At 51.1% G+C, this 23,150-nt stretch overlaps 1 protein-coding gene across 2 annotated transcripts in view, besides 1 other annotated feature; it reads right to left on the reverse strand.

Moving 5' to 3' along the window:
- The window catches only part of ADCY5 (adenylate cyclase 5), a 166,795-nt gene extending 152,041 nt beyond the window's left edge, over positions 1-14,754 (reverse strand). For both annotated transcript variants that reach the window (NM_183357.3, NM_001378259.1), the window contains exon 1: positions 13,076-14,754. In NM_183357.3, coding sequence (NP_899200.1) covers positions 13,076-14,209 — 1,134 coding nt within the window. In that variant the 5' untranslated portion in view covers positions 14,210-14,754. The remainder of the gene's footprint in view (positions 1-13,075) is intronic.
- Positions 12,916-13,815: an enhancer, noted in NCBI's record as "H3K27ac-H3K4me1 hESC enhancer chr3:123166099-123166998 (GRCh37/hg19 assembly coordinates)". NCBI's record gives its function as "activates a minimal SCP1, AML or CMV promoter by ChIP-STARR-seq in naive H9 embryonic stem cells {active_cell/tissue: H9 hESC(naive)}" and the evidence as "EXISTENCE:reporter gene assay evidence [ECO:0000049][PMID:30033119]".

Consider the following 23,150-nt stretch of genomic DNA (forward strand, 5'->3'; position numbering starts at 1 on the left):
GCATTAAATTGTTTGGGGCACCCAGGAACAGATCCAGTCAATCAGGAATCTATCACCCCCAGTGTATACAGGAGAGAAAAAGGACTAAAAAGGGGTTAGGGCAACTCTGCCAGGATTACACAGTCAGGGTTATCTCCTGGGCCTCTAGGCCCCAAAGCCAATGGTTATCTTGTTTTAACACATCACCTCGTCAGAGTTGCCATGAGAAGCAAATGAGATCACACATAAACAAGTCCTTTGTCACCCAAAAAATGCTAATTAAATATAAAGGTATTTGAGCCTTTTGGCTGGTATTTGAGCCACTGTCTAGTCCAGGTCTCAACCCTAGGAGTGCCCAAGCCTCATCCCGAGAGTTAAATATAAATAATCTGGGGTGGGCCTTGTTAAGGTATAGTTTCAAAACTCCCCAGGGGATTCAAAGGTGCACCCAGGATAAGAAATCTCTTGTCTATAGCCCTACCTTCCCTTCCTCGCTCCATTACCCATACAACCACCCTAAACCTAACCCTAACCCTAACAGACCATGCAGGATGACACAGGGACCCTCAAAAGGACCCGGGCCTAGGTCTCCCACTAATATGTGACAATCCCCTCTCTGGCAAGGGCTATGTTTCACTCCTTTGGGTATATGCCACACACAGTAAGAGCTTAATAAGTGAGCACTGAGGCTGGGCGCAGTGGCACACACCTATAATCCCAGCACTTTGGGAGGCCAGGGCAGGCAGACTGATGGAGGCCAGGAGTTCAAGACCAGCCTGGGCAACATAGTGAGACTCCATCTCCACAAAAAACACAAAAATTAGCTGGGCCTGGTGGCGCATGCCTATAGTCCCAGCTACTTGGGAGGCTGAGATGGAAGAATCATCTGAGCTCAAGGAGGTCAAGGCTGCAATGAGCCGTGATTGCACCACTGCACTCCAGCCTGGGCAACAGGGCAAGACCCTGTCTCAAAAAATAAATAAATACGTAAGGCAGCACTGACTTGAACTCAACTGAGTTTTAGATGCTTGAGCACAGTGGTGTGGGCTGGTTTCATCTGAATAGTAGCGCCAAAACTAGAGAAATGCTGAAGAGAGACTGCCTCCACACACAAGGTCCCTGCAGACTCCAGTAGAAGATTTAACCAATGACGGAGTCCTCCATTGACCAAGAGATGTCACAGCCTCTCCAGGAAGCTGGCAGGCCCTTTAGTCAGCACATAACTTCTTTCAGAACCTGCATGAGATGCCCCAAATCAAGGGTCCTTGTTTCTCATACTAAGAAAACCTTTTTTTTAAGGCCACAAGTTCTGCTGCCACCTTATAACAGCAGCTTAGGAACCTGAAGACAGGTTAGAGTATAAATGAAAAAGGGCACAGAAAGCCACACATTTTTAAGAAGTAAAAATTCAGCTGGGCGTGGTGAGACCTATAATCAGCTGAGACCTATAATCTCAGCACTTTGGGAGGCCAAGGTAGGTGGATTGCTTGAGCTCAGGAGTTCAAGACCAGCCTGGGCAACCTGGCAAGAGCCCTTTTATTATTATTATTATTATTATTATTATTATTATTATTATTATTATTATTATTTTCTGAGATGGAGTCTTGCTCTGTCACCTGGGCTGGAGTGCAGTGGTGCTATCTCAGCTCACTGCAACCTCTGCCTCCCGGGTTCAAGCGATTCTCCTGCCTCAGCCTCCCAAGTAGCTGGGACTACAGGTGCGTGCCACCACACCCAGCTAATTTTTTATATTTTTAGTAGAGACGGGGTTTTACTGTGTTAGCCAAGATGGCCTCAATCTCCTGACCTCGTGATCCGCCCGCCTCAGCCTCCCAAAGTGTTGGCATTATAGGTGTGAGCCACTGCACCTGGCCAAGACCCCATTTTTATTTTAAAAAATTACCAAAAATAGCTGGGCATGGTGTTGTGCACCTGTAGTCCCAGCTACTCAGGAGGCTGAGGTGGGAGGATTGCTTGAGCCCCAGAAGCAGAGGTTGCAGTAAGCCAAGATCATACCACTGTACTCTAGCCTGCGCAACAGAGTAAGACCTTGTCTCAAAGCAAAAATTCAAAAACAGTAATTTGTCTTTTAAAAAAACTGTCTTTTGGCTGGGAATGGTGGGCTCACACCTGTAATCCCAGTACTTTGGGAGGCCAAGGTGGGCAGATGACCTGAGGTCAGGAGTTCGAGACCAGCCTGGCCAACATGCCAAAATCCCTTCTCTACTAAAAATACAAAAATTAGCCAGCCATGGTGGGGCATGCCTGTAGTCCCAGCTACTTGGGAGGCTGAAGCAGGAGAATCTCTTGAACCCAGGAGGCAGAGGTTGCAGTGAGCCAAGATCATGCCACTGCACTCCAGCCTGGGTGACAAAGCAAGACTCCATCTCAAAAAATAATAATAATAATAAATTTAAAAATAAGTAAAGTAAAAACTTTTAAATTTCATATCATTCCTCAAGTCCAGCAACCAATCAGCTGTTGATAAGCACATGCTATCAAATGGAAGAGAGAGGCCCAAGGCAGGGCCAGGGATCCAATCCTGCCACGGAGGTCTGCACTTCATATGCATTTTCGTCCTTAGTAAGCAGCCTCCCCACCTCCCTGGTGTTCAAGTCAGACCTGGGTTAGAATGCAGGCTTCTCCACTTTCTGTTTGGATTCTCCTAGAAAAAGCCCCTGAGACAAGGATTTGAGTACAAGTGACTTTTCTGGGAGGTGACCCCGGGAAACATTAGGAGGGGAGTAGGGGAGTGGAGAAATGAGAAAGGAAGGAAAGAAAGCCCCCAAAAAGAAGAGTGTGTTATTAAGCCTGTAACCACTGTGAGCCATTAGAGATTAATCCTTGCAGAGAGTTCTAGGAGACCATGCAGAACACCAGCCTCAGAATAAGATTCCCCCAACCCCGAGGTCAAACGAGCTGGGGCATTCGTCTACCAGTGCCCAACAGCCACTGGTTGAATGCTGCTCTCAGGAAGTAACTCCCTGGCACTTCTGACCTACCCTATCAGCAGGCCCCAAGGTTTAAGGCCAGAGAAAGCCCTCAGGTTCTCTCCCTCAGGTTCCAGGTTCAGCTGGAAGTCTGGCTGGTATGAGTGAAAGGTACATGCCCAGGGGATATGGGCAGGGTGCTGAACCATCTGTCACAAGCTTGCTGTGTGACCTTGGGGAGGTTACTTACCTTCTCTTATCCCAGTTTCTGCAGCGGTGTAGAATTTTAAAAATCGGAATAAAAAATGTCTTCCTCATAAGGATGACATGAAGATTAGATGAGGTCATGCATGGAAGGGATTAGCCCAGTGCCAGGTTTGCAGTAAAGACTCAATATAAGCTACAGGTTATCATCAATATACTTTATGAGCTTCCTCCTTTTGGAGAGTGGGGATGGGAAAGAAACATTTGGGGAAGGCTGATCTGGAATGGTCCGACACTACTTCCCCATGGGCAGCCACGCACTCAGTGCCTTGCTTAGGAAAAGTTCCAGAAAGACATTCAAGGGACCCCAAGCCCACCAAGGGTCATTGTGCAGACCCAACCTCTTCCGATGTCTAACAACAGCAGAAAATTCCTAAAAGAAACTGATGCAAAATCAAGGAGGCATTCCCCAGTCCCTGCCAGCCCCCTCAATTTATTTTATAAAGGATTTCTGACCCAGATGGAGAATGAGACTTGAAAGCAGGCAGCAGGCTGATGCAGTCTAAGCAATTTCCTCCCTGAGGGAGGAGAGCCACCAAACAAATGCCCCCATCTAGATGCCTTCGGATAGGCCTGGCCCAGAGGCAAGGGGCTAGATCTTGAGAAACTTCAAGGCTCCTCCCAGCCCCTGAAGAATTGTATCCTAAAGCGTGTCCTAACAAACACTAATGCCCTCCCCGCAGTAGGTTCCTTCGGAAAATGGTGCTGGAGTCAAATGTGTTTGAAAAAGGCTTCGTGCCATAACCCCCTCTTGGCAAATTCTTATACCCATTACATATTAAAAGCTTTAATGCCTAAGAATTCTGTTTAATCCAATATTTCCTAAATTTATTTGACACACACCATGTGTGTGTAAAATAGTCCCCCTCTAACCTCAGTTTTGCTTTCCGCGGTTTCAGTAACCCATGGTCAACCACGGTCTGAAAATATTCACTGGAAAATTCCAAAAATAAGTAATTTCTAACTTTTAAACCGTGCACCATTCTGAGTAGAGTGATGAAACCTCCCTGTCCTGCTTCACCCTGCCCAGGACATGAATATCCCTTTGTCCAGCAGATCCACGCTGTACATGATACCTACCCCTGCCCCATAGCAGGCTCAGTTATCAGATCAACTGTCACAGTACTGCAGTGCTTAAGGAACCCTTGTTTTACTTAATAATGTCCTCAAAGTGCAAGCGTAGTGATGCTGGCAGTTTGGATATGCCAAAGAGAAGCTCTAAAGCACTTTCTTCCTTTCCTTTTTATTTTTTTGAGACAGGGTCTCTCACTTTGCTGCCCAGACTGGAGTACAGTGGCATGATCACAGCTGACTGCAGCCTTGACCTCCCAGGCTCAAGAGATCCTTCCACCTCAGCCTCCCAGGTAGCTAGGACTATAGGTGCGTTCCACCACACCTGATTAACCTTTTTAAAAAATTTTTTGTAGAGACAGGGTCTCACTATTTTGCCCAGGCTGGTCTCAAACTCCTGGACTCAAGCGATCCTCCCATCTCAGTCCCCCAAAGTGCTGGGATTACAGGCACGAGCCACTGTGCCTGGTCCCACTGTGCCCAGACCCTAAAGTGCTTTTTTTTTTGAGATGGAGTCTCGCTCTATCACCCACCTAGAGTGTAGTGGCGCAATCTCGGCTCACTGCAAGCTCCGCCTCCTGGGTTCATGCCATTCTCCTGCCTCAGCCTCCCGAGTAGCTGGGACTACAGGCGCCCGCCACCACGCCTGTATTTTGTATTTTTAGTAGAGACGGGGTTTCACCGTGTTAGCCAGGATGGTCTCGATCTCCTGACCTCATGATCCGCCTGCTTTGGCCTCCCAAAGTGCTGGGATTACAGGCATGAGCCACCGCACCCAGCCCTAAAGTGCTTTCTTTAAGGGAAAATGTAAAAGTTCTCAACTTAATAAGGAAAGAAAAAAATCATACGCTGAGGTTGCTAAGATCTACGGTAAGAACAAATCTTCTGTCTGAAACTCTGAACAGTATATCATCAAAACTGTTCTATTGTATTATTAATTATTGTTAATCTCTTACTATGACTAATTTATAAACTTTATCACAAGTATAGATATACAGGAAAAAAACATAATGTTATATAGGGTTTGGTACTATCCACGATTTTAGGCATCCACTGGGGGTCTTGGGCTGTATCCCCCTTGGATAAGGAGGGACTACTGTATGTGAGACATCTATGAACAGCCCTCCAAGGGACACATTTAGTGGGAGAGCCTGGGCTGAAGGCGGTCCTCAGAGCCACAACCCGTCATCTTTGCAACCCCATGGCCTAGACAGTGCCTATTATAAGGTAGGCACCTAATAAATGATTATTATCTGAACAAATAGGGAGAAGGCTGAAAGAACGACTTAATGATGGTTTTCAAATCTGTTAAGTGATATAGTATCGGCAGTGCCAGGCAACAGCTCTCTGTTTCTAAGAAGGCACACATTTTAAATTGCAGCAGGAGGGATTTTGGAAGCCCTGCTCAGAGTTTAGGATTACAACCCACCAAAATAGGCTTCCAAGCCGAGCTGCGTCGCTTCCTTCTGTGGAGGTGTTGGTCTAGCACTTCGGCAGAGCTTAGAGTCTGCGTGCAGACGTCCACCCACCCCACCACCCATTCATTCATTTGCTTGTTCATTCAAACCCTCACTGAGCACCTACTGTGTGCTGAGCACTGATGGAGGTGAGGCACTGGGTCCCTCAGGATTCCCTCCAAAAGACAAGGTGGGACCTCAGTGAGTTCTGTGATAAAGCCCAGGGAGCCCTGAAGGGGAAGGCAGAGGGGACCATGAAAGTGTGAGGTCAGGAGGCCACAAGCCCAGATGCAGCAGCTCATAACCCGACCAGAGCAAGAGGTAGTGGGCAGGGAGGGGGGCCTATTACAGTTTCACACTGACACATGAGGCTAGCCTAAAGAATAAAGCCTCTACTGTCTCCTTGTGTTTGTTTGTCTAACCACCCCCCCTTTCTCTTGTGACCATATCTCATTGTTCCCAGAGAACAGCCCTACCCCCACTTCCAAGTCCTTACCCTCCTCATACTCACAGTTCCAATCTCCTCTTCCTTTCTTTAAGGCACACTCCCCTTCCTTCACACCACCTCGGAATTCTTCCCCATCGCCTGTCTTGCTCCTCCACCCCCTGACTTCCTCATTCTCCACACTCTATACCATCCCTTCTGGATCTGGGATGTCCTCAGTAGGTTTTCATACCCACTCACCAGACGAATGAATAAACCAGAAGTCAAACCTAGGCCCATCTTTCTACTAACCTCCCCCTCAAAAGGTGAGCCACAGATTGTTTTGCCTCAAAAAGGAAGGGGGGATTGGGGCGAGGGGGCAAGAGAGAGTCCAGGGCTGATCATCCCTCTCATCCTGTTTTACCACCACCACTATGACCCAATCGCCTTCCAGATCTGCATCTGTGCATTAGTGCACACTCACCAGCCCCACCTGGATGCCTCCCAATAAGTCTGCATGTATGCACTGATTGTGCTTCTTTTAAACAGGGGCTGAGATGGGCATGATAAGAGGACACCCTGGAGGACTTTAGGAGGTCTTGCCACTGTTGCAAGACACTGACCCACAGAATTCCAGGCTTAGGTGTAACCTGAGCCGTCTTCTTGGCCAATGATCCCAAACCTAAGAGCTGGTCATCAAAATCACCTGGGGAGATTTGAAAACCAGCTCCAAGTTGTTTTAAATAGAGATCCATTCCTGGGCCCTACCCTAGACCTTTGGAAGTTGTACCTTCCCAGTGCGGCCTGTGAATCTGCATTTTTTCAAAAACTTCCCAGGTGATTATGATAAGCCAAAGTTAAGAATCAATGATGCAGTCAGTGACCCATCCAAACTTTCACCAAGCAGTCAATTTCCTCAGTAACAAGCCAAGGAGGTGGCCATCCAGTCTCCACTTGAACACCTCCACTGACAGAGAGCTGGCTACCCTAAGAGGCACCTGATTTGGCTGCTGCAAACCCAATGGCTAGAAAGGTGTCATCTACCTAGAGCTGAGACCTGTCTACTACTTCCACCCATCTGCCACAAGCCTACCCTTGGGAGCAACAGAAAATAATTTAGTCCCTCTTCTAATATCTGAAAACAGAGATCCCAGCAATAACACCTTGCCCTTCGCGTTAGGTTTTCTTACCTGATATGGTCTGCTTTTCTCCCAGCTAAATATCCTCCATTCTCTCAAATGCTCTCTCAGAAGTTTCCACTCCCCTTACAAAACTGGTCACTCTCCTTTGAAGTCTAGAATCAGAGGCCGTTGTATTTCAGACCAGGCCTCAATCCTCTGATGAACTGGATAAGGCTATAAACCTAACCAAGATCCTGTGGGCCTTTTCTAACAGCCATCCCAAAATGCGGGCTCACATTAAGCTCACTGTCCGCTAACTAGAAACCCCCAGATTTTCTTCACAATGCTGTAAAGAGAGATCTTCCCTGTCCTACATTTGGATATTGCCTTAAGGAAGGAAAAAAAAAAAAAAAAGCAGGGCTTTCCAATTTTGCAATTTTGTGTTTGGGAGCAGAATGAATACTGATCCTGCCTTCCATGAGCCAGCTACCCTCATCTGATAAGCATGGATGAGACAAGGATGCTAGGGCCTCACTTATGTAACTGTACCCAAAGGATTTACGGGCACCATCATGTTGAAGCCCCCAGAGCAAACTTTTCTTTCTCAACACAGGCTACACTCCTGGGAAACACATGACGGCAGGTTGCACCCACCACCAAGATAAAGTTAACTGAAGTAGCAAGCAGGCAGCCACGGACAGCAAGGCACTCAGCAAGAGGCTGCGCCATCACGGGAGGCTCCCTCCTCAGGTCCCAGTTTGGTGAGGACCAAGGTGGCAGTTCCATTCATGCCTCATGCGGGAGAGGAGGCCTGGCCCGAACATGGGCCACCACCCTGCGTGTGCTCCAGCCACACCCTCGGACAGAGGGACTCATGGCCAGAGCTTGAATGAATAGGAGAGTTCCTGTCCAAGCATTATAAACTGATTTTGAAACTCTCTGTGAGGTTGATGGGGTTTAACGCATCATCCATGTCCTCTTTACAGACAAACATGAACGCACTGTTCTGGGTCCCACAGCACACAGAACTCATGCTCCTGTTGCAGACGAACATTTAGATTGAATTATTAACAGTGTACATTCCCACAAATACAGCAGCTGGGCATTGTGCCCCTCCGCTGAGTCTCTGCCATTCCTGAAGTCCTCCCCCAGGGATCAAGGCACTCTAGGGATCTAGAAGACGACCCCCACCCCAGCCACTTCTGCTCTCCTCCAAATACCCACTCCTAGCTTTTGGGAGAAAGAGGCGATCTAATAAGCAATAAGTAAATATAATCGGCAAATACAGTCAGCCTTGAGGCAAGAGAAGCAGACCCTCCTCCACTCGAAACCCAAAGCCAACCCCCAACCCCAGCCTGCTGCTGCGCTGGGGTTGAGCCTGCTGCTGAAGTTCACTGCCACTGAATTTCTCCTATCCAGAAATGCAGGTGATAGGGAAAGCAATTGGTGGCAGACAATACCCGGGCCTGTGGGTGAAAGTGTGTCTTCCTCCACTCTACCCAGCGTCTCACATGGGGCAGCCAGAGTGATCCACCAGACAGGCCTCTGGGCCAAGTTCCAGAGCAAGGTGGCAGCTCTTCAGCGGGGCTCATTGGGCTGGGCTGCTGAGCAGGTAGGTAGCAGGAAAGGTTCTTGAAAGAGAAGAAAGGGACTCCATGGAGTCAGAAGAGCCCCAGGTACTTACTTCCCTGGGGAGCCAGAGGTCGAGGTCCGAAGAACCATCAAGGCCCAGGACCAGAAAAGCAAACGGCCAGGGGAAGCCAACTACCAGCCAAGAATAAACAGGACAGGGCTGCCATGATCTCCTTTCAAAGTTAACACAAAGGCTTCCCAGGCCCACGTCCACCACCTGGGTCAGCCTCATACCAGATAGACAGATGCGCACGTGCTCACGTACACACATGCACCCCTGAACAGCCACAGCCTCGATTCTTGGTCCATATTCCTACCCCCACCCCTCATTTGTCTCCTCGCTACAGACACACGTGCTCACAGTCACAGAATTTCACCCACACAGCGCCTGTGCCTTTCTGATCACTGGAACAACTGGTGACAGTTGTAGGTTCAAATAGGCACAAAAGAAGAAATGCAGGAAATCACTAAGAAGCTGGGGAAAGACAGGGTGGGGTGGGAGATGGGTTGTCCCACACTGCAGGGAAAACCCCTAGTGGCTCCCCCAAGCTCACGGGGACCCATGCGGGGTCAGAATCTTCTCCTCAGAAACCATGTCAGGCAGATTGAATGTGGATGCATAATAATAATACCCCATATTTGAACAGGACTCTCCACTTTTCAAAGAGCTCTTCCATCCATCATCACCTAGAGTCCAGACCATAGAGCTGCTGCTAATCTCCTGGAGTGCAAATGACCACCCCACCCCACAGGGCACAACGATACCTTCTCCAAAATAATCGTTAATAGCTAAGCATATGTAATAGTTGTGTGAGCATGCTTGTTTTTGTGTGAGTGCGTGCAGAAGCTTTATGTAGCAGAGTGGGATACAGTCAAACAAAAATGAGGTTGCCATGGCAACAGGCTCCAGCATCATTGCAGCCTATTAACACAAGTGAGGAATGTGTTTGGCAGATGCTCCAGTGTTATTTATGGTATGGGTGTAGCAGAGGGACTTCTAACAGGCAAAGGAGGAGAAAAAAACAACCCCGTGACGCTCCTACTATACCCCAGCGAGGAGACAGGAGTCGACAGTGAGACAAGAGCACAGCAGAGGCTGAGAGGCCTCGAACAGGGAGGGAGAGATGGGAAAGCAGAGCCTGCAGGAAGGCAGCAGAGAGGTGAGGTGGGCAGACAGTAACAGGGATCAGAGGGAGAGGGAAGAGAAAGGAAGTCAGAGAGGAAAGGAGCAGGCAGAGAGAGAGAAGGAGCCGAGGGGGAGGGTGACAAACACTATGGACAGAGCCAGAGGGATGGAGAAGGGAAGAAACACCATCCCACCAAGAGGGGCTGTGGCACCTTGTGTCCTGTTCCTCCCTTGAGTCAAAACTGTCAGGAGCCACTGGTTAAGAAACCAAATGCTTCTCCTAATTGGAGCCAAGGGCAGAGCCCCACACATAAGAGAGGCTGAAGAAGAATAAAATACACAGGTCAGATAATGATGTTGAGGACCTGAGTAAAGGGGGAGAGGTCCAGCCTTGCAAGAGGAGCAGTGAAGAAATGCCAGTCCAGTTTACTGAGGGCCTACTATGTGTCCAAGCCACCGAAGGGGGAATTCCCAAAGCCCCAACATAGGAACTGCTCATTGCCACCCATTTCCCTGGACATGTGTCTCAACAAAGAAAAGAACAAGGCATCTAATCCCAACCACTCTTACATGCCTGCTGTTCTGGAGTAACCTGAGGCAGAGGTTAATGCTGGACTTCCCCCACCAGCCAGCAGGGTTTGCTCAAGAAAGACAAATTTTATATGAGGCATAATCAAAAGGGTAAATCAAGTACAAACAAAAAAAGATACAGTTTTCTCTGAAGCCAAATAGAGGAAATGTTTGCATTCCCTTGTCTTGAACCACTCATAACAAGCTCTGCACCACTCAGGGAAGATCATATAAAGTAAGTGTAAATCCACCCAAAATCCTACAGCCTTGCAAAAGTCTAAAGACCACAGTGGGTAAAAGAACAGGGTAGGAGCCAGTGGGGGTGGGGAGAGAAGGGAGAGGGATTTGCCTAAGGAACCAGAAGGAGAAGTCAGTCAGACAGACACTCTGTTGCTGCAATGGTATTTTCATGCTAAGGTGGAATTGGGGCCCCCCCCAAGGCTCAGCACCCCTTTCCTGGGATCTGACTCCAACCCCCCTCAGGAGAAACCATACCTACAGCTGTAATCAGACCCTGTGTCCCAAGTCTGGTTCACAAAATACCCTGAACTATCCTGAAAATCTCCATATGGATGACATGCCCCTTCCTCTGCAGAAAAGCTACATCCACCCAAATCAGGAGCAGTCCCCAAAGATACAACAACCATCTGAAAGCACGAGTCCTCGGGTCAAAAGAGTTGGGGCTTTTATAAGCACTAACAATGGTAGTAACTTTTAAACCACCACCTCTCAAAAGTCTTCTGCAAAGCTGGTCTCTAAAGATTTTTTTTTTCTTCTCATCTCAGATCTGAAAAAACTTTTAACTTAGCATCAACAGCCCCACTTACTCCATTCACTGGACCCCAACTATATTGGCAAGCAGTTATTAAATCCCTACTAAGTATTCTGCACTGTGCTTAGGTAAGGGTGAGAGAATAGAGGAGGAAAAACACATACACCTTGGGATTTGTGCATCCATGGAGGTTACACTGGACAGACAGCAAAACAAGTGGACACTGGAAAATGAATAAGTGCTCCACTCTGTGCCTCTGACTCTATTGTTAATCATACAGAAGACCACGAGGTCAGTGTGGCTGGAATGGAAGAAGAAGGTTCCTTGCAGGGGTACAGCTTGGGGCAGAGGACGTTAGAAGTGGAAGGGACATAAACATTCCTCTCATTCTCTAGAAAAGGTAGCAAAGGCCCAGAGAGCTTGTGTGTCCCCTCCGTCCCAGTCACAGAGCACCCTGCAGGTTCAGCTAGAGCCCAGAGCCCTGAAACCCATAACAGTGCTATTCTCTATGGAAGAATACTATGTCCAGGAAGCCAGGGGACACAGGAGAGCAACTCAAGAAAGATGCGGTACTCAAGAGGATAAAAGTCTAAGAGAAGGCACTAGAAGAGGGGAGACAGAGGAAGGCAATGACAATGGAAAACCCTTAAGAGGTTCTATTCGAGAAGGCAGACACCAGTGGGCAGATGTGTGCACTGGGGTCCAAGGTGAAGAGACTTGCCTGTAGCAAGGGCCCAGTGGACTCTCACAGTGGAGCAGCATGCAAACAAGCAGGTTCAGAAGCAATCATGGATGAGGACCAGGAAACCAGACCACAGGACACTAAAGGGAGATATGGTATGGATGGCAGGGGGGCTCCTCTCACCCTGAGGTCAGGATAGCCAACATGCCCCTCTCACAGAAGCCTTTAAGAGAGTCACCAGCTAACCAGGCAAAAGTTGTATTTCTTCCTGAACCTGCAGTTCTAGACTCACCCAACAAATCCCAGCAGGGATAAAATGTCCCTACCACAAGCAATGACCAGGGGCACCCACTTGAAGGGGTCATGATGTTCAACAACAGCTTTCTGCTCAGGCCGGAAGGGGAATTGCCACCACACACATCTCGGAGGCTCCTTCCCACTTTAGCGAAGGGCAGGTTTTTGGCTTGGGGCGCTCTGCTAACTGAAACAAACTTGTCAGTCCTTCTGCAAGTTCAGGGATATCTCCAGCTACCAAATCCCCAGCCTTAGACAGGTGGCAGGCTCATGCTACCTCCTCCTTACCACTGAGCAAGGGGTGCAGGGTGTCCCCTCACCAACCCTCTATCCAGGGCTGGATTAACAAAGCAGCAGTGGCACTCACGAGGGGGTGGCTGCTAGAGGGTCCAGCCACTTTCGTTAGGGGCCTTTTGTATATAGGAACAGAAGCTCAGGAAGAGATGGGAAACACTCCTTATAATTTTCTCCTCCAACCTTCCTCACTGCATTCCCACAGTGATGGCTACAGTTCAGTACACGTTATCTAAGGGGCAAGGAACACTGCAAACGACACAAGGGCACTCTTTTTGTAAATGAAGCCGCTGGGGCTCAGAGTGGGGTAAGAAGCTCCCAAATAGCCTACATGGCCGAGCCCTGTCTCTCTGGCTCTTTTCACCATTCGAAAGGGTGAGGGTGGGATCCCTTTCTTTGGAGTCCAGCTGAGGCCTGCCCGCCCCGCAATCCAGTCCCGGTGGCCAGGTCGGCCCCTACCTGCTTCAGCAGGAACTGGTCCTGGGCGTTGGTGCGCAGGGCGATGGCCAGGTGGAGGGCGGACAGGAGCACCCCGCTGAGCACTGCGGCCCGCATGCGCACGGGCAGCAGCGTGTAGATGGTGTAGATGAAGAACACGGTCCACCAGATGCCCTCAGAGGCGCTGCGTGGCTGCGGCAGCAGCAGGCCCACCACCTGGACGGCCAGCACCACGGCGATGAGCGCATAGCAGGCCAGGCCCATGTGGTCCTGGTGGAAGGCGGCGCGGTTGCAAAGCACAGCCATGATGAGGATCACGCCGACGGCGGCCGCCAGCACGGCCAGGTAGGGCAGCTGGAGCGGGGGCCGCGCCGCGTGGAAGGCCAACATGACCAGGCACACGAGCACCAGCACGGCCATGAGCATGGTGAGGCTGCTCTGGTTCAGGCGGAAGAAGTAGCGCTGGTACAGCCGCTCCAGTTTGTCCGACGGGAACTTCTTGGAGCGGAATATCTGCAGCAACGCCAGGCAGCAGGCGCCCAGGGACAGCACCGCGCCGGGCCCCGCGCCCGAGCCCGAGTCCGCCGAGCTGCCGCCATCCCCGGACCCCTCGCCGCCCTCGACGGCGCCGGCCTCCAGCTCGTCGGCCGCGCGCCCCTTGCCCCGCCGCTCCTCCAGACCCACCTCCACCGAGCGAGGGCGCACCTCCGTCCCGCCCGCCGAGGCAGCCGCCGCCGCCGAGCCGCCGCCGCCGCCCGCAGGGGGCGCCCGGGTGCTGCCCCCGCTGGCCGCGCCCCGCCGCTGCCGGCGGCTGCCGCGACCGCAGTCGTCGCCGCCGCGCTCCTGCCAGGCGGACTTGGAGCGGAAGCTGAAGCCGAAGCCCCCGGCCAGGGGGTCGTCACCGCTCAGCGGAGGATCGTCGTCGTCGTCGCTGCGCCAGCGGCTGGCCAGGCGCTGCTGCTGCTGCGGGGTCACCGCCCCCCCGGGTTTCTTGGTGGAGCCGCGGGCAGAGCCCCCGGGGGCATGGGGGTAGCCATTCGCGCGGGAATCGGCCTCGCCCCACGCAGAGCGGTGTTCGGGGCCTCCCCGGGGCGCCGGCGCCGCAGTCTTCTGCGCCGCGTAGCCCGGGGGGCTCACGCTTTTGGAGCCGGACATCCCCCCCTCGGCCTCGTCGTCTCCTTCCTCCTCCCCCGGAAGCCGGGCCGGGGGTCTCCAAGGGGAGGGCGGACGGCCGAGCAGGGGGACCAGGCTAGGGTCACACGTCGGGGGCGGCCCGGGGCCCTGCGCTGCAGCGGGGCATCTTGGCACCCCCGTCCTGAGCGGAGGAGGAGGGCACAGCCCCGAGGTGAGAAGTAGCTGAGGATCCGCGTCAGAAGTCCCAGGTCCGAAATGGAGTTGCCTCCGAGGTGGGGTCGCAGGGACTGGTCTGGCTGCTGCTGCGCCGCACGCGGAGAGACGTCCGGGATCCTGGCTCGCGTCGAGCTCGACGAGGGCCGGAGTTGCGGACGAGACGGGACGGAGTGGTGTCCTTGCGGGCGGTGCCTCCTCGGGCCGGCAGTGCCCGGGCGCGGCGCTCGCTGATTCCGCCTAAGCGGAGCCCAGCTGCTCTCGGGGCTCGGCGGCGGCGAGGGCGGCTCGGCGGGGGTCCCGGCGAAGAGACACTGCGGGTGCGCTTTCCTCGCAGCGGACTGGGAGCGACTGGGAGGTGCGGGCGCCAGCCAGCATTATTTTCTTACGAGGGGTGGGGAGGTGGGATGGGAGGTGGAGAGGACGGGGGAGGGGGCGACGGGCGGAGCAACAGCTCCGGAGCCCCGGGGGGGAGGGTCCTGGAGCCCGGGGGGGCCGTTGCCCGCATCCCCCACCTCTCGCGGCGAGAGTGGATGCGTGGCCCCGGCGAAAGCCGAGCCGAGCCTTCGGCGCGTCCGCGCAGGGGGCGGGGTCCGGGTCAGGGACCGGCTCCTGCGGTGCGGCCCTTCCCCTCTCGCCTCTCCCTTTCCCGCAAACGGAGCGGGGCCGGCCGGGACCTGCCGGCCCGGAGAGCTGTCGCGCCCGCTTCGCAAGCCCCAAGCTCCTCGTCGCCGGCTGCGGGCCCACCGCGGCCGGCGCGGAACGACTAGGCGGAGGACGGAATCCGGCGCAGCGCTGCCGCGGTTCTGCCCCGACGCAGGCAGGCTTCTCCCGGGGAGTAAGGCATCCAGAGATCCAGCGCCGGGGCTCAGAAGCAGCCGGCCCAGAGGGGCCCGCCTGAGAGCCGCGGCGCCCGAGAGGCGCTCCGGGGGGGCCCGCGGGAGCCCGGCTCAGGGCGCGCCATGCACGCTTCGGGCCCTGCGCCGCTCCGGCCGCTCGCGCCGCTCCTCCCTTCTCGCCCGCTCGCCGCCGCCGGAGAGCCCTCCGCATCCCCTCCTCCCGCTGCCTCCCCGCCCCCCGCGCCGCCCGGGCCTCGGCTCACAGCCGCGCGAGGCCGCCTCCGCCCCCGGCCTGGCCATGGCCCCAGCCTCGGCGCCCCGCGGGCATCCTCAGGCCTGGCCGCGGGCACCCCAGTTCCCCTTCCTCACCTAAAATTCTCGCTGCGCCCCTCCCTCCCTGGGACTAGGAGCCGCATCCAGCCTGCGGTCCCGTCACCAGACCTGGGTGGAGCGCGGTCTTCCCCCGCCCCCGGCCAGGGCTCCAGCGCCCCCAGTCCTAGCTCCCCTCTTTTGTATCCCCCTTTAATCCCCCTCCCCCCATTTAACCCAACTTCAGCCCCGGCGCTGCGCCCCCCTTCCCTGGCCCGGCTCGATTGGCCGCTTCCGGAGCTGTCAGACTACAGTCCGGCGCTCTTATTGGGCGATTCTCTGGCCCGGCGGCTGTGCCAAAGGAGGGCGCACCGGGTGGGGGGCGCCTGGGCAGCGAGTGCCTCAAGGAGAAGGAGAACAGAGTCCCTGGAGGGGTCTCAGGGGCCGGAGAGCCAGACCCGGAAATGGACAGGGGAGATGCAGAAACAGGACTTCTGAGACGCAGGAAGACAGTGATGGAAAAGATGGTGATGCAGTGGGTGAGGCCGATGCAGCCGGGGCGGGGCGGACAGGGAGGCTTTGGTGGGTAGTTACCAGGAGAAAGCCCCACAGTGAACACTGGAAACACCTGGCTTTTATAAAGCGCTCTTTGCCTGTTCGTAAAGTCTCATAAATCTCACTTGGTTCCCGTCAGTAATCCTAGGATGAGACAGAGGACAGAGACCGTGTAGCTATTCCCAGCTTATAGATGCAGAAACTGAGGCTCTGGGAGCTTATTCAACTTGCTATAGGTCACACAGGTCTACTAACTTGGCACCCAAAGGTCCTTCGTCAGCGCCAGACTGCCTCCCTAACCTAACAAGGTGTTAGCAGGAAGGATGGGCACCTGAGCAAGCTGGCGTGCCCACTTGGGGGGAAGCAGGGGAAGGGGAAAATGGCTAGATACACAGCACCAGCCACAAGAGGCAGGAATGGAGAGAAGGATTCGACTGCTAGGCAAAAAGGACGTAGGCCTGTAGAATGATGTGTCTACCCAATTCCCTTTGCCCCCAAGCTGTCCTGCTGGAGTTCTGACAGTCTAAACCCTGGAGAGGTGGGAGACCACACTCCTACCCAGCCTGGGGGTAAACAGCTTTTACTTTCCCCTTCTTCATCCTCCAACTCTCTCCCCAGAGCTTCTGACAGGGAGCCTAGAGGTCTAAGTGAGCTTCCTTCTTTGTCTCTCTCTGCTGGTCATCTCTGCAGACTGGAAGATAAACCTTGCCAGAGTTACAAATTGGGAGGAGAAAAATTCCAAGAGGTCAGAATAAACTAACCCTTGGGTAATCCAGCCTTTGAGTATTCCACTATTAGCCAAGTTGTAAAAAAAAACATGAATTTAGTCAATAAAAATTCTAGAGAACCCTCAATGTACAAAGCATTGTGCTAGTTGCTACCAGGATAGAGAGATGACCAAACTCTAGACCGGGAACAAGTCGAACAAGTCAGTGACGGAGAAGAGCTAGCCACTATCTCTAGGTCAGAGCAAAGTTCTGGGTTCAATAGAAGTGCAAACAGCACCTCGGGCATTCAGAGAGAGGGGGTGTCACTTCCCACTGTGAGGGCCAAACAAGGGCCTGGAAGTCAAACCTGGGTCTAGCAGGGAAGGATGTCTAAGAAAGGGAGGATGGACTAATTAATATTTACTAAGCAACTGTTGTATGTCTGTAAACATTTTATTGTCAGATAACTATTCTGAGGAAGGTTATCCCCACTATAAAGATGAGAAAACAGACTTAGGGAATCAAAAAGTTTGTCCAGCCAGGCATGGTGGCTCATGCCTGTAACCCCAGCACTTTGGGAGGCTGAGGCAGGCAGATCATCTGAGGTCTGGCGCTCATGACCAGCCTGGCCAACATGGTGAAACCCGTCTCTACTAAAAATACAAAAATTAGCCGGGCGTGGCGGTGTGAGCCTGTAATCCTACTCTGGAGGCTGAGGCAGGAGAATCACTTGAATCCGGGAGGTGGAGGTTGCAGTGAGCCGAGATCATGCCATTGCACTCCAGCCTGGTTGACAGAATGAGACTCTGTCTCAAAAAAAAAATAAAAAATAAAAAGGCCGGGCATGGTGGCTCACGACTCTAATCCTAGCACTTTGGGAGGCCAAGGCAGGCGGATCACGAGGTCAAGAGATCGAAACCATCCTGGCCAACGTGGTGAAACCCTGTCTCTACTAAAAATACAAAAATTAGCTAGGCGTGGTGGTGTGTGCCTGTAGTCCCAGCTACTTGGGAGGCTGAGGCAGGAGAATTGCTTGAACCCAGAAGGTGGAAGTTGCAGTGAGCCAAGGTTGCACCACTGCACTCCAGCCTGGCAACACAGCAATACTCTGTCTCAAAAAAAATAAAATAAAATTATTTATATATATATATATATATATATATGAGTTTGCCCAAAGCTCATAGTTGTAGCAGTCTGCTCGTTGTATTCTACCATGCAGCAATGTAGCAGATATGACATGGGTGGCACCCTCAAGACATAGTCAACTGCACGGACAGGGGCCACAGGGCCAGAGGTATCAAGGCTATTGATCAAGGTTCCATCCTTGATCCTCTCATCTTCTCATTCCCAGAGCTATCCCTAAGTCATTCCTCTTAATTTTATTCAATTTTTAAAAATAATTGTCTTACAACAAAAGCCATGTATGATTGATGTGGGAAAAAAATTAAAAAGAAAGAAAACACACTCATAATCATATCACCAAAGAACCAGTATTGGCCGGGCGCGGTGGCTCACGCCTATAATCCCAGTACTTTGGGAGGCTGAGGAGGGCGGATCATGAGATCAGGAGTTCGAGACCAGCCTGGCCAACATGGTGAAACCCCATCTCTACTAAAAATACAAAAATTAGGCAGGCGTGGTCATGGGCACCTGTAATCCCAGCTACTCGGGAGGCTGAGGCAGGAGAATCACTTGAACCCGGGAGGTGGAGGTTGCAGTGAGCCGAGACTGCACCATTGCACTCCAGCCTGGGTGAAAGAGCAAGACTCCATCTCAAAAAAAAAAAACCAGTATTAATATGTTAATTTTTTTCTTAAACAATAACTGGATCTTTTACTCTACAATTAGTTTTAGAGTCTACCATTTTCTACTTAGCAAAATATTGTGGATTTTTTTTCATGTCAATAAGCATCCATCTACAATATCCATTTTACTGTCCAAATTGCATGGGTATAGTATACTTTATTTAACCAATCCCCTACTGTTAGGCATTTTTCACTGTCATAGCAGTTTATAAATAAAAGTTTCCCCTCCTTTACTATTATAAACAGTGAGCATTTCTGTAGATAAATTTTCACACAAGCTGGGCACAGTGGCTCACATTGGTAATCTCAGCTACTCAGGAGGCTGAGGTGAGATGATCTCTTGAGCCCAGGAGTTCGAGGCCAGCCTAGGCAACATAGAGAGAATGCTGTCTCAAAAATAAATAAATGAATAAAAATTTACACATATCCTTAGGAAAAATTCCTACAAATAGAATTGCTGGGCCCAAGGATAAGCATGTTTTTTTCTCTAAGATATTTTTGAAATCTGTATCTTCAGCCCTTGCCTCCCTTCCCAGTTCCAAGCTTCCCTCTGGCTACTGGAGAGCTCCCCATCGATGCTCCTTGGGACTCACCAGATCCCAAATTCACTGTTTCTGAAAATAAGGTCATCTCCCAAGTAGCTTGCTCCTCACTCCCTTTTCATGCTGCTGGTGGAATTACCTTCGTCCAAACTCTGTGATCTTAAGAGTGATAATATCTCCTCTGCCTTGTCTTTTCGCATTTGTCTCTTCTTCCACATTCTCTTACCACAGCCTTCATCCCGATCATCCCCTTCCTTGCCTGGATAATTGCCAACTCTCCCTCCTTGCCCTCAAATCTGTCCTCCGCCTTGTCCTCATCTGATCTCACTCCCACTGAAATCATGTCCACAAAACAGCCTGTTCCTACCTGCCAGCTTTCACTGTGAGTTCACCACCTTCCTGTCACCCAGCCCCCATGAACTGCTCTTGTGCCTCTGCAGAGATAACCCTTTTTCCTCCACAAATCAAACTCAGCACCTGAGGGAAGCCCTCCCTAATACCCCTCCCCTCCCTCCACCCCTCCCCCATGCCAATAGGCACTCCCTCCTCCTCCTCTGCCCCCAGCACACCTTGCTTATATCTATTATAGCACCTGTCACATTGTATTATCTTGACTTGTTTACGGAACGGTCTCCACAGTCTGCTGAATGCCTTGAGGGTAGAGTTGGGATCTTATTCCATGCCCAGTGTTTAGCCTGGTGCCTGGCACATAGGAGGTGCCCAATAGTTGCTGGATAAACACATGGCACATCTGGGGAATGGTAAGCAAGATGGAGTCTCAGGTATATGTAGGGGAGGAGGACTTTCGACAGTGGGTGAAGATGGACAGGTGAGTTGAACTCTGGAACATAGTGCCGAGGAGGTTGGGCTTCAGTTTAAAAACAATAAGGAGCCCCCAAATTTAGGGACAAAAGTGTCCTGGTTCATTCTGTTTTAAGAGGCAAACTGGTGATAATGTTACTACATTCAAGAAACAAGATCCCTGTAATCCCCGCACCTTGGGAGGCCAGCGCAGGAGGATCGCTTGAGGCCAGGAATTCAAGACCAGCCTCGGCACCATAGCTGATAATAGTGAGACCCCATCTCTACAAAAAAAATTTAAAAATTAGCCATGTGTGGTGGTGTGCCCCTGTAAAACCAGCTACTCAGGAAGCTGAGTCGGAGGACTGCTGGAGCCCAGAAGTTCAAGGCTACAGCGAGCTATGATCATGCCACTGCACTTCAGCCTGGGTGACAAAGTGGGACCCTGTCACTGGAAAAAAAAAAAAAGTGGGAGTGTGTGTGGGAGACCAGTCAGGAAGCTATTGCAGAACAGATGTAGATTGGGCCAAAAGTGACCTGGTGATGGGAATGATGCCATTGGCTGGAAGAGGCCTGTGGAGGGCTGAGAAAGAAACCCTGTGGGGCTAAACCCTGGGTAAAGGAGGAGTCTTCACAGTCAGAAGAAATCAAGAAAAGCTGAGGATCACAGGAATGAAAGGCAGAGGTTTTCAAGACAAACTCCAAGATGTGCACCTGGTATCAAAAGGAAAGGATGAGGCCAGCACAGCAGCTCACAGCTTTAATTTCAGCACTTTGTGATGCTGAGGCGGGTGGATCACTTGAGCCCAAGAGTTCCAGACCAGCCTGGGCAACGTAACAAGACCCCATCTCTCCAAAAAAAAAAAAAAAATACAAAAATTAGCCAGGCATGGTGGCACATGCCTGTGGTACCAGCTACTCAGGAGGCTAAGGTGGGAGGATACCTTGAGCCCATGAGTTCTAGGCTGTGGTAAGCTGTGATCACACCACTGCACTCCAGCCTGGGCAACAGAGGAAAATCCCATTAAAAAAAAAAAAAAAGTAAGAAGGATGTTGTCATCAGAGAGAATGCCAACCTAAGCACCATCTCTTGTCTCTGTCTTAAGTGAATGCTTAGTTTGCTGGAGGTATGGGGACGACAGACTCCAGAGCACAGCAGGCCCTTTGGGAGACCTATAGATACACCTCTGTTCCCCTCCAGCCATCTTCCCCCTCGTGCCTCAGTTACCCTTCAGGACTTAATTCTTCACTCCCACAGGCTGCTTTTTATAAGAATATTTCTATTTCAGAAATTAGAATATTCACATATTAATATTTTGGAATAATCAGAAATACTTTTAGAAGTGGGTAGCAATAATACTCCCCTACCTAAAAATAACTCCCCCACACACTGCTTAGAACTCCACTATTAGATAGTCATGCTTTGGGATAACACTCATTTGCTAAATTGATTCAAAATCAATGCAGAAAATTGAGAGAGAAAGATTAGTGCTTGCCTAGGCCTGGGGAAGGAGAAGAACGGGGAGTGACAGCTAACAGGTATAAGATTTATTTGGGGGGTAACGAAAATGTTCTAAGATTAGTTATGGTGATGATTGTACAAATCCATAAATACAGTTGAACCTTGAACAACACGGGTTTGAACTGCGGAGGTGCACTTATACCTGGATTTTCTTCTGCCCCTGCACTCCTGAGACAGCAAGACCAATTCCTCCTCCTCAGCCTGCTGAAGATGAGGATGAAGACCTTTATGATGATACACTTCCACTTAATGAGTAGTAAATAAATTTTTTCTCTTCCTTATGATTTTCTTTCTTTCTTCTTCTCAGACGGAGTCTTGCTCTGTTGCCCAGGCTGGAGTGCAGTGGCGATCTCAGCTCATTGCAACCTCTGCCTCCTGGGTACAAGCAATTCTCGTGCCTTGGCCTTCTGAGTAGGTGGGAGTACAAATGTGCGCCACCGTGCCCAGCTAATTTTTGTATTTTTAGTGGAGACGGAGTTTCACAATGTTAGCCAGGTCTTAAACTCCTGACCTCAAATGATCCACCCGTCTCAGCCTCCCAAAGTGCTGGGATTACAGGCATGAGCCACTGCGCCCAGCCACCTTAACATTTTTTTTTTCTAGCTTACTTTATTGTAAGAACACAGTATATAATACATATAACATATAAAATATGTGTTAATTGATGTGCATGTTATCTGTAGGGCTTCCAGTCAACTGTAGGCTATTGGTTAAGTTTTGGAAGAGTCAAAAGTTTATATGTGGATTTTTTACTGCGCAGGCACTGGTGCCCCTAACCCTAACCCCTGCATTGTTCAAGGGTCAACTGTATACTAAAAAGCACTGAACTGCACACCTTAACCAGGTGAGTGTTACGGTATGTAAGTTATATCCCAATAAGATGGTTGGAAAAATGAATGCAGATACCCCTGAGAGGTTCAGAGATTTGCGGCAGGACATCAGTCTTTGACAAGTCAGTGTAATGAGTTTTTGTTTTGTTTTATTTTGTTTTTGAGATGGAGTTTCACTCTTGTTGCCCAGGCTGGAGTACAATGGCGTGATCTTGGCTCACCACAACCTCCGCCTCCTGGGTTCAAGCAATTCTCCTGCCTCAGCCTCCCGAGTAGCTGGAATTACAGGCATGCGCCACCACGTCCGGCTAATTTTGTATTTTTAGTAGAGATGGGGTTTCTCCATGTTGGTCAGGCTGGTCTCAAACTCCCGACCTCAGGTGTTCCACCCGCCTCCGCCTCCCAAAGTGATGGGATTGCAGGCGTAAGCCACCATGCCCAGCCTCAGTGTAATGAATTTAATCAGCCTCTGCTACTACTTGGCCAAGGTTGTGGGCACTAGGAGAATGAATGCTTGCTATTTAGGAATAGGGATGAGTTAGGAAGGAGAGAAGAACCCTTGGGACCAGAGAGCATTTCCTGGGTCAAATGAAACCATAGAATGGGAGACACTGAGTAGAAGAGGGGCTGAGGGCCTGGGTGCCTGGGAGCTAGAAGGAGGAGGGCAAAAATGAAAGCCAGTTAGGAACTGGGGGTCAAAAATGAACTTTGCCCCCTGCACAGTTTTGTCCAGGAGAGCCCTGCACTGTGAGTTATTCAAAAGGAGTTAAGAAACTCTATGAACCCAAGGCTCTCTTGAGACTGAAAAGGATATTAAAGATCATCTCATTCCGACAGTC

This window comes from Homo sapiens, chromosome 3, assembly GCF_000001405.40.
Source record: "Homo sapiens chromosome 3, GRCh38.p14 Primary Assembly".
NCBI classification, from domain to species: Eukaryota; Metazoa; Chordata; class Mammalia; order Primates; family Hominidae; genus Homo; species Homo sapiens.